General features: G+C 38.3%; 1 annotated feature.

Moving 5' to 3' along the window:
- Positions 7,213–8,692: an enhancer, noted in NCBI's record as "VISTA enhancer hs576". NCBI's record gives its function as "enhancer in: midbrain (mesencephalon)[9/9] | cranial nerve[6/9]" and the evidence as "EXISTENCE:transgenic organism evidence [ECO:0001131][PMID:17130149]".

Raw genomic sequence — 12,551 nt, forward strand, 5'->3', positions numbered from 1 at the left:
TGGCCCCAGGAAAGTCTTGCATAATTTTCCAGATTTTTTTCTGCTTTATCATCTACTCTGTGGTCAGTCCTTTAAGCTCTGACTCATTGAAACATGCAATTTTTCCCATTTCTCATTAAAGCCTGGCTTTTGAAAGTCAAAAGTATTTGCTTTTAAGCTATTAACTCTCTATGGATTTAATAACCTCTGTTTTGAAACTTAAAGTCAAGCAATGATTCCCTTGTTCTTGGCAGCCCCCCACCCACTTCCACATGGCAATGAATTCCTCTGAACCATTGGGTAGGGCAGCTGCCAAACAACTCTAAAAGGGGATTACCACAAGACACATTGGTTTGATATCTCAAAAATGGCATCCTTTATATCACTGGAAGTGAAATTGTTGAGTCAAAGAAAATGTATATTTTAAAGACTTTAAGTACATGTTAGTTATCCTCCAGTAGACTATTAAGAGTGGCCTTTTAAACCTAAAAAAGTTAATATAAAAAATGAGTATTAGCATATTTTCATATTTGTCAAATAAAAATAATAAATAGTATCTTATTACTTTAATTGCTAAAAGCATGAACAAATTTGATAGACAACTTGGTAGTTATATTAACTCAATCATTTGATAAATATATATAGGTTCCATATGTGTGTTACGTAATGGGAAAAAATCTGCAAGACATATTCTATGACTCATATTCAAGAGGCTCACAGGCCAATGGGAACACAGCTTGTAAATAAGTAATTGCCTCTGAACGTCAAAATGAAGAGTGATAGGAATAAACTTTTACACATTCAATGTTTTAAAAAATTCCATGAGTCACTGGGCTTGGTGGCTCATGCCTGTAATACCAGCACTTTGGGAGGCTGAAGCAGGCTGATCGCTTGAGCCCAAGAGTTCAAGACCACCCTGGGCAACATGGCAAAACTCCATCTCTACTAAAAATACAAAAAATTAGCTGGGCTTGGTGGCATGTGCCTGTAGTCCCACATATTCAGGAAGCTGAGGCGGGAGGAGCACCTGAGTCTGGGAAGTCAAGCCTGCAGTGAATATAGAGCATGCCACTGTACTCCAGCCTGGGCGACAGAGTGAAATCCTGTCTAAAGAAAGAAAGAAAAATACATTCCATGAGTCCACACTGATACTTATAAAGGGTTTTTCTTTTCCTTTGCTTTTAGGGAGGGAGAAATGGAAAAGTTTTCTTTATTCTTTTAAAAAGCCAACTAATAAATGTAGAGGGAATTAAAGAAACAGGAAGTAATTCATTTACTGGCATCTAGCATCATAACAATAATTGACTCAGTTAGGAATCATCATTAGATGCTAGAATTATGGGATGAAAACTTGTTGAGAGCAGCATATGGAAAAATTGAGTTGAGGGACACTCTATTATTAAATTACCAAATTTAACATCAACAGTAATGGGAAAAAACTGACATTATGTACCTTTGATGTGATGTGATAAAGAGTATACAATATCATCATCTATGTATATTCTTGCCAAAAATGTTTAACCTAAATTAATCATAAAGAAACATTCAAGTCAGACAAATTCAAATGGAAGCACATTCTGTAAACAACTGCCCAGAATTCTTTAAAAATGTCAACACCACAAAACCTACTCTGTGTCAGTCCATTTGAATTACTATAAAGAAATACCTGAGACTGGGTGGTTTACAAAGAAAAGAGATATCTTTTGGCTCATGGTTCTGCAGGCCATACAAGAATGGCACCAACATCTGCTCAGTTTCTGGTGAGACCTCAGGAAGCTTACAATCATGGCAGAAGGCCAAGAGGAGCAGGCATATCACAAGGCAAGAAAGGGAATAAGAAAGAGAGGGGAAACTCCTAGACTCTTAAACAACCAAATCTCGTGTGGACTAAGTGAGAACTCACTCATTACTATGGGGAGGCCACCAAGCTATTCATGAGGGATCTACCTCCATGGCCCAAACACTTCCCACCAGGTCCCACCTCCAACATTTGGAATCACCTTTCAAGATGAGATTTGGAGGGGACAAATATCCAAACCATATCACATTCCCATTATGCCCCCTCCCAAAAGGCTATGAAACTTTTCTAGATCAAATAAGACAAAAGATATATACCAACGAAATACTACAAGTAACTACTGATTGGATCCTGAATCCAAAAACACTTTAAAAGAAATTATTGGGCAATGGAGGAATATTTAAATAGGAACAAGTATATTAGATAATAGTTTCATTTCAATATTAAATATTCTGAATATGGCTGTGAAGGAAAATGTCCTTGTTATTAAGAGATGCACTCTGAAGTATCTAGTGGTGAAATAGAGTGATATTTACAAGTAACTTTCAAATGGTGGAGAGAGAAAAAGAGGAGATGGAGGGAAAGAGAAAGAAAACATTGCAAACTAGGTGAATCTAGATGAAGGGTATATCCATTATACTATTTGGTCACATCCCATACTTCTGAATTATTTTGAAATAAATACTTGGGGAAAAACATTAAGTGATTGTAAAAAATAATAATTCCCGTACACCACGAAAATGGCATGAGAAAGGCAGTAATTACGAACAGAGATGGCATAAACCTTTCTCCTCTTTTCTTCTCCGTGTACCTCTACTTCTTGGTGACAGTACACTATCCTGTGCCTGAAACACCATCTGATGCCAATGACTGACTAAGTGATATCTCTAGTTCTGTCTTGTCTTCTGAATTTTTTACTGCTGAATCCCCATTGCCTGGCACCTAGTAGGTCAAATGCTTGAGAATGAATGAATACATTCTGCTTGGAGGAGAGAAGGGCAATGTCATTGGGTAAGAGATTCTTTATCTAGATCTTTAAAAGTGAGTAGATGTTAGTAGTAAGGTGAATGGGAAGATGGCCTGTACATCCGTAGTTGACTCTTTCTCCAATGCCTTGGTCTAGACAATAAATGATCAACACAAGCTGAGGCAGAGAGGTGGGGCAGGGGGAGAAGTGGAGCGTGCCCATCCTGTATGATAGTAATGACAGATCCTCAGCTAGTTGTTTTTCTGTGGTAAAGTAGACCAAGAATTTCCAACTCTGATTTTAAGAAGAAACTGAAAATCTACAGATTTCTGGAAATTTTCTCAATTATTAAAAGTCTTCTTTTTAAATTTATTTTAAGTTCTAGGATATATGTGCAGGATGTGCAGGTTTGTTACATAGGTAAACGTGTGCCATGGTGGTTTGCTGCACCTATCAATCCATCACCTAGGTATTAAGCCCCTCAGGCTCAAACAAAATAAGTATTCTGGATGAATGACACAGTTTGCAGTCCCAGATCTGAAACATGATTAGTAGCAAAAGATAAGTAGGGCCAGCAGAAAGAACAAATCTTGGAGACTCTTGTGAAAGATATGCTATAAGAGATAGAGCCAGGTTTTAGGGGAAGATTAAGTATGTTTGATGAGAGAGACAGAAAAAATGATCACCAGTCAAATCGGAAGAAGGGAGACAAGTCCTAAATAAGACATTTAAAAAAAACCTGTTAGTCATTGGGGCACAAAAAAACATAACCTCAAAAGAGGGTCACACACACATACACAACAAGATAGCTTCACCTTTAAAAGTGAGCCCAGTATAGTGTTAGCTTCCCAGAGCCCCTCTGCTCTGGAGGGACCTGGGAGTACAGTGGAGCCTGGCAGAAGAGGTGTTTGTAGTAAGAATTGGAGAGTGGGGCCTGTCCAAGTGGAACTGAAGCAAAAATTTCATGTTGAATCTCCCTGGGTTCACACAGATCATTCCAGGAGTCCTGCTTCCACTGGAGAGGGCAAGAACTGAAAAGCAGTGGGCACGGGCACTGGAGCTTGATAGCACATTCCCAACTCTGTAATCTTCCCTCAATCACCCCCTCACCAATTTTGCCTTTTGTTTTCCCTAAGAAACATAGAAATGTTTGTCCAACTGGAGGAAACATTGATAGCATCTGTAATTTGCATTATTTTGCTTTTTTGGTCTCCATATTTACAACCATTCAATGTCTGTTTTTGAGCATCTGCTTGGTGCCAGGCACTGTATCAGGTACTAGAGACACAGCAAAGAGCAAGACAGATCATTAAATAAAGATATTACTTGTATATAAAAATAAATCCTATAAAAGTCAAGGCATGATTTTTTTCAGGAAAAAAAAAATAGAAGTATGTTTAGACAAAATCTACAGGACAAGGAGATTACAGTGAGTTAGTCTCAGAGAACACCAATTTAAATTTTCATTCAATCATTCACTATTTTTACAATAATTTATTGATTATTGACTATTGCTCAGCTATAGAAGATACTAGAGAGAAAAAAAACAAATTTTTACTGTTTGAGAGTTCACATTCTAAGGAGGAAGCTCAACATTTATATAAATAAATAATTATGATATGTATAATAAGAATAGAGGTTTGAGCAAAGTGTTTAGGATCTCAGTGAAGGAAGAAATTAATTCTACTTAAGGGTCTGAGAAGTCTTCTCTGGAAAGTAGAGAAGAAATCTGGATTTGTTTGGTGATGTACTAAGAAATGGTCATAAATTGTAAATACTGAATAGAAAATATATTAGAGAGACCTGTAGAAATTAAGAACTGAAGGGGAGTGGTCTTGGGAAGAAGTTTTATGAAAGTGGACCTGTGCTGTACAGTACTAGGAAAGAGACAAAGTTGACTGCGGGAACTGTACATAAATGGGATGTCTGGCTTTACCCTTCCACCACATGTGAGGCTTTTGGAACAAAACGTTAATAGAAGGTGTGGGGATATTGATACAAATTATATCCTGATAACTTGTGAAACAATTTGCATCTCATCATTTTAAAATCCCCATAATCTTCTCAAATCAGGCCGAGAACCTTCAGGATCTGTTACACTTGTGTAAGAAGGTGGTGGGATGCAATTCCCTATGATGGATTCAGGCAGTCTTTTCCCACACTCAGTGGAGTACCAAGGGTGAAAGGCAAAACAGCATTTAACACAGGCAGGAAGAGGCTGCAATGTAGAGAATTTTTTAAAAAATAATAAAACTGGCCAAAAATTAGTTCACTTTTTATTTTCACCATGAGTGCACAATTCTTACCCATGTCAGTGATAAAACGCTTCTTCCCAAAATATGTTCTCTAAGTTCCAAGCAATTATTGTGATTGCTGTTTGAGTTCTAATGTGAAAGCTGTAAGTGATCACATTTTTTGTTACTCCTCATTTAATAGGCATTATTTTTGACATGGAAGTTAACACAGAGTTCCCAGTTTTACAGCTATACTACAACACACACACAGACTCAGCTATACATGTTCATTTAGAAAGTAGTTCATAACAGGTTAAAATTATTTGAGCCTGTGTAACTTATGTCTGCAACCCCTAAGAGACTACGAAGTCTTTCATTTAAATAGTAGATACGAACTAAACAGGGATAGCTGTGTGGATTTTTTTCTTCTCTGATTTTTTTTGTTGTTGTTGCAAATGAGGTTAATCACACACACACAAAATTTGCAAATAGCTAGTGTTATTCTTGAACGATGAGCAGTGAAAACCAGCTTTAAAATCCTTTCTTGATTGGCTCACAAAAATTGTGAAATATTCCATTTACCATTTCATAAAAAAAGAGAATCAAATTTTGAGAATAAAATTCTCTTCATTGTCTGTGTTTATTTTCTGGCCATGAGTTATTGTTTATTTCTTAATTATTCTGAAAATAATTATGTTGTAATGAGGAAGGGATGTTCATAAATGATCCCCTCTGAGTGTCAAGAATGCTGGGCACATTAGTACCTATTCACAAACTTCTCTAGCAGTGAGCTGAAGCAGCTAGAGGAAGTTTAAGGCAAAGAAGCAAAAGTCAGCTCTTCCCCAAATGTGGCTGTCTTCAGAAACTTGGTTTCCTAGAACTCATGGACTCAACGGTGAATGTGGTTGGGGGACTCATGGTTTTAGTGGAAACTGAGTATTACAATTTTCAAAACACTTGAAACTCCATTTGTAAAATTCTCACAGGTAGACATTCCATAAACAAAAGATGTTAGTATATTACCATAAATAACTCAAGTTATTATGATTACTCAAGTTATATTGTATGCTGATTTAAGGTACCTTTTATCATAGAAGAGAAATAAAAGATCTTTTGCATCAATGAGAGTGCTTGAATAAATCACTCCTGTGAATTAACATGTCACAGAAGAGAAGCGGACCCCGATATAACAGATTCAATGGATAAGAAGGAGGGACAAAATTCTGCATCACCAGTTTGAGATGTACTTCCAAAATCCACCTTCTAATGGACAGAAAAAGCAAGGCCATGTGGAAATTGTCTATAACACTATTTAAGGGATATTTTCTGTCATTGGTTACATTCAGCATTGATTTGTCATTTTGATTTCATTAGTGGTCCTTATGACTTGGATGCTCACATTCTGCTTGAGGAGCTATAATTACATTTTGTCAACCAAGCTAATCTGATTTTTGCATGCACAATAACTTCCAGATCTAACCTACTTCAAGAGTCCTATGCTGTTGCTGCTGCTTCTACTGCTACTACCACAAATAGTGATGTGTCACAGAACTTTAAAGAGTTTTTAAAAGTATTTAGATAAATAATCTCTCCCCAAGTTTCTTAAAATTAGAACTGCGTGTGATATAATAATAATCAAATCTGGAGATATACATGTTAAGTGCTCATGCTGGCACTTCTCTTCCCACACCAATGCAGACATTACTAACCACTCTTTAGCACTAAGCCTAGATACCCCTCTGAGTCTTTCACAATTATCAGTGGATGTCCAGGCAGCCACTAACCTATCATCTTGTATTGGCATTACAAGAGAAAATATAGTTTCTATTCCTGATATAGTGTAATTTATCATTTTACAGATAAAGAAATGCTCAAAAAGGACTGCACAGTAAATTAGTTGCAGAGTTAGGACAAGAACATATCTTATCTCCTGACTCTCAGCCCAGTACCCTTTCTACTGTCTCATGTGTAGTTTTCCGTAACATAACACCCAAATGACTAATCAGATTCTGGTTTCAAAATTTAAAAACTCACAATGACTTTTAAATTTCATTATTCAGAAAGCTGTTCTAATAAAGAGACTTTGGTCCAATATATTTACTACCTCATCTGGTCACCATCCTTTACACAGCAAGTATAATCAGTTATCTCTAGGGGGCAGAGGGTGATTTCAGCAGTTGCTGAAATACATGCATTTATAAAGACTGCTAGCATTTTTACATCCTACAAAAATGCACAGAACCAATCCCAAAACATCACCAACCCTCAAATAGAAGGATTCTAGCTACATGTGAGGGGGGGTAGCTGATCAAAGTCAGCTGAGACTAATAAACATGAAAAAGAAGAGCTGAAGAGAAAGACAGATGCCGATGAGTACTTCTCACCATTTAAGACAACTTATAATTCTAACCATTCTGCTAAAAACAGACAACGGACTGATTGCTATTGTTTTACTGATTAACTATTCTCTCTGCTTTGTCCCAAAAGGCACCCTGGCAAACTTTGCTTAGTAAATATTGACACCTGTACACCAAGCTGGCTAATGCCATTGGCTCTTCAGCAATCTTCCCATCTGTTGCCTGAGAATTTTAAGCAACGTATTTTGGGAATCTTGCTCTCTTTCCATTGTAAACTGTAAAAAATGCTACCCAGAAGCTAATCCGAAAGCCACATGGCCCTAGAGGGGTCTGTGGTAAGTAAAGGGAAATGTAGTCTAATATGTAAAATGCATATCCCACTGGCCTCCGCGGCCACCCTGTCTTTAGTTAACAGCATGCCAGGGTAATCTGCTTAGTTACCAAGTGGGGCTTTTTTCCCTCTTCCCCATGAGATCACCCAGACCACGATCAAAGCCCAAACACACTCTCTGCCAGCTCTATTGTTCCCCAGAGTGGGATTAATGACTAATTATGTCAGGTCACTCATCCAGATGGCCTCTCAGATGTTCCTTTGTCATTGTCTGACCTTCCATATGCCCCTTTGACCTTGAGGTTTATTTCCATGGAAACATGAAGCCTCAGTTTCCTTGCTGAGATTGCCAAGAATTGGCCAAAAGGAGGGATACAGGATAATCTACCCATAGTTTGTATTCTGCTTCCATCTCATGCCTTGTTAAATCCAATGAATAGATAAAAAATGCTATCTGGTCCCAGCTGAGTGATGACCATGGTCATGATTCTATGTTACATGCTATGTTTTTTAAATTAGCAGACAGCTTTGTACATGGAAACGTGCATTCAATTTGAAGAACATCAATCGCCATAATGTGATCTTTTTATCTCATTAATGTTAAGCAAGGGTAATAGAATGGAATTACAAAATATCACTGTGAAAGGAATACAATTCAGAGAATTATAGATATCCTCCATTAAAGCCCTAGAGATGTTTGGATAAGTCAACTTGTTCAGTTTCATAAATTAAAGATTCTTTACTCACTACCTTTTCTGGGGTTTAAATTCTAGCCTCAGATGTTGATCTTAATCTGAAGAAGGATTTTAAGGTTGTTAGTAAAATAGAAAAAATTTCCTCAAAACTACCAAATAAGTAAATAAAAATAGAATAGGAGACTGACTCATGAACTCAATTAAATAAAAAAGGCTGGATATGTATTTGCATGGGATAAAATGTATTTCCCTTCATAGTTTAAAGAGGACTAAGGAATAATTTAAATGCCTAAAACAGGGAGGCTAATTCACCTCTTCCAAGTTCATCCAAGAATAAAATGTCTGTCTCTGTACATGAATTCATACAAGCCCAGAGGTCCCACGGAGAATGCAAGCAGAGTGGGAAGTACTCACATGTGCCCAAGTTTCCCTGGCAGGGTGGCAATTTATTAATCTTCCCTCACCAATGGTCAAGAAGCTGCAGATTCCAGCTGAGAGTTTTCGGTGTATTTAAGAAGAAAATTAGAGAGCTAGGTGAAAGAAAGGATTTTGTTCCTTGCATTGTTCTTGAAGGGCCATTTTTGCTTTCAGAATCCAGAAAGGAAGACTGGGTGAAAAGAAAAACTCACCCTGGTTAATGGCAACCAGTCCCCTCCACTCCCCTTCCCAGGGCTCTAAGGCCCTTTGGAAGCAGTGACGGTGCCTTGCTCATTACTAACTACAGTCATCTTTAATACTTCAGTGCCCAGCACAGTGCTTGGCATAATCTAGATTTCTAAGAGCTTGCTGAAGGAGTGAATGTGAGATAAATGTTAGTGCCAGACTAGGTGGACCAGAAAGCTTGATCTTTCTCTTTTTTTTCATTCCAATAACACAGTCAGAAATTGTCTGATTAAAAAACATTTTGTATATGCAAGTTTAGCCTAAAGGAACACAAATTCAACATGTCACAGAGAAATCCTTTCTTTCCACTAAAAGAAGACAACTGTGCTTAAAGAATAGTAACTATACAGTAGATTTCCACAAGGTATAAAAGGACACCATGTTCCTAATCATTTGAGAATGTGGCCAGGAAACTCCTGCCATGTTTCAGACCCCTTGCTCTATGTCTTTGTAATGTCCCCATTCCACATGAGATACTCATTATATCTTCTGGCTGTGTCATCACTACTCCCAGACAAAGATTCTCTCCCTTCTCAGAATAGCACTGCTAGCTACATGGCTAACCAAGAGCCTACACTATGGATGTGGAGTGGTGGCAGGTGACCTGTAGACAGTGGTACTATAAATCTGCTACCTTCCAGATTATTCAATAATGTAATTAAGTGGTGCTTATTATTTCCAATATGTAGAAGAGAGATTCCCCCACCCCCCACTGGGACCATATCTACTGAAGTAATTTTTAAAATTCCCAGGGAGAAATGCTTTGTCTTTCATATGACTCATAGACAAAGAATAATCTTAATAAGAAGTATGTCCCAAATGTTGACATTTCTACTTCAGCAAAATCATTACCTAAACATAATTTCAAATGTCCCATTATCTGAGGCATCAGATCTGACACTTTTCTAGGTCTCAGTTTCCTCATCTGTAAGTCATACAAACGCACCCTGCTAGTCCTTGCAATAACTACAAGTTGAAATAATTCTCTCAACAGGTCTTAGAATCCTTATGTACTGGAACTAAAATACTCATGGTTGCCTAAAAGATTCATGTGAGTCAGCTAGTCTATTAGAATATTACATCAAGGGGGAAATTACTGTATCAAGGAATAAGGAACTGGAGATCAGTATCATCCAAGTATTGCTTGTTTGATATTTATGGTCCTTGTAAATTGCCTTGTAAGTAGTTTTATATCAATGAAAAAAATACTTGTGAAGTATCTATAATGTGTCAGGCACTGGCTTAGTTTCTGGAGATACAATAATGACAATCTCAAGTTGCTCTTAGCCTAGTAAGGAAACTGAGACGTAAACCCAAATGCCTTGGGAAAACATGAGACGACTTCCTGGAGGAAGTGATATCTAAGCTGAGTTGAGCCCTAAATAAGGGCAGACATAGAAAACAGGGGAAGAAAGAGTGAGAAAAAGCATCCAGAAAGAGGGAGCAGTTTATGCCAAATTCTTCAGAAAAACATAGCAGGCCAAATTTAGAGATTTGCAAGTAGTTCCATATGACTGAGGTATGCAGTGATGAAGGTGACGATGGGGAGGTGTACAGGAGTCCCATCATCAGAAGCCTCATCTTAGAGAATCTACAGCAACAAGAGATCGACACAGGCAGTACCAGGGTATCCACAAAAGGAGTGAACTGTCATCAGCTGGAGTGCCTCAGGCCCCTGGTTGGAAATCAAGGGAAGAATTTCAGTCCAGAGAAAGAAAGGGATAACTGGGCCAAGCCAGGGACCCAGTCCTAGAAGGCCTAGATTACTAGGCTTTCCAGGCAGAAACTTGGGCACTCTGAACAAGAAGGCAAAAATTATCATGTGGGGACTGGGTTTTAGGGACAAGGATGGAGCTCAAATCTCACCTACTTCTCCCAGACAAGCACTGGAGGTAACTTGGAGCTGGGTTTCAGAGTGCTGAGCTAGTTTCCTTGTTTTTTTTTGTTTTGTTTTGTTTTTGTTTGTTTGTTTGTTTGGTTTTTCTTTTGAGACGGAATCTCACTCTGTCACCCAGGCTGGAGTGCAGTGGCACGACTATTATTAAAAAGACAAAAAATGACAGATGTCGGTGAGGTGCAGAAAAAAGGGCATTCTTATACACTGCTAGGGGGATGTAAATTAGTTCAGTCACTGTGGAAAGCACTTTGAGATTTCCCAAAGAACTTAAAACAGAACTACCATTCAACCCAGCAATTTCATTACCGGGTATATTCCCAAAGGAATATAAATAATTTTGCCAAAAAGACACATGCACCTGTATGTTCATTGCAGCATGATTCACAATAGCAAAGACATGGAATCAATCTAGATACTCATCAATGGTGGACTGAATAAAGAAAATGTGGTACATATACACCATAGAATGCTATGCATCTATAAAAAAGAATGAAATTATGGCCTTTGTAGCAACATGCATGGAGCTAGAGGCCATTATCCTAAACGAATGAATGCAGGAACAGAAAACCAAATACTGCCTGTTCTCACTTATAAGTGGGAGCTAAACACTGAGTACACATAGACACAAAGAAGGAAACAATAAACACTAGGGCCTACTTGAGGGGGGAGAGTAGGAGGAGGGTAAGGGTCAAAAAAACTACCTATTGGGTACTGTTCTCACCACCTGGGTGATGAACCCATTTGTTCACCAAATCCCAGCAACATGCAATTTACCCATGTACCAAATGTGCACATGTACTGGCAAAACTAAAAAGTTGGAAAAGAAAAAAAAAAAAAAACTCCTTTCCAGAGTGGGGGGATTGAGTGAGGTTGGACAGAGCATAATGAACTCTTGAGAGTCAAGTGAAGGGGGCCATGGCTGTAAAAAGAAGAGAAAGGCAGAGGCAGGGACTTACTAGGTTTGTCTCTTGCAAGAATGTGAGGCAATGGAGCACAGATAGTGGAGATACAGATTGAAATCCTGGATCTGGAGCTGCTTAGCCATGTGATTTTGAGAAAATTACCTTCTTCACCTTTCTATGCCTCCATTTTCTCATGTATAAAATGAGAATAATAATACTTTCTTTGCTGGGTTATTATGTATTAATAAATCAGAAGTAACAGAAGCAAAGTGCCAGGCATCTGGAAGGCAGTCCATGGTGGTAGTAAATAAGCAGTAGTTTTATTATGAGAGTGTGTTAATGATTATTCTCGGCTGGGCGCAGTGGCTCACGCCTGTAATCCCAGCACTTTGGGAGGCCGAGGTAGGTGGATCACCTGAGGTCAGGAGTTCTAGACCAGCCTGGCTAACATGGTGAAACCCTCTCTCTACCATAAATATGAAAATTAGCCAGGTGTGGTGGTGTGCACCTGTGGTCCCAGCTACTCAGGAGGCTGAGGCAGGAGAATCACTTGAACCGGGGAGGTGAAGGTTGCAGTGAGCTGAGATCGCACCATTGCACTCCAGCCTGGGTGACAGAGCAAGACCTTGTCTCAAAAAAAAAAAAAAAAAAAAAAAAAGTTATTCTTTGGGAGATACTGATTGGCCACAGTGGAATATAACTAACAATTATCTTTACACGTTATCTGG

Source organism: Homo sapiens, chromosome 6 (genome assembly GCF_000001405.40).
Source record: "Homo sapiens chromosome 6, GRCh38.p14 Primary Assembly".
In the NCBI taxonomy this organism is placed as follows: Eukaryota; Metazoa; Chordata; class Mammalia; order Primates; family Hominidae; genus Homo; species Homo sapiens.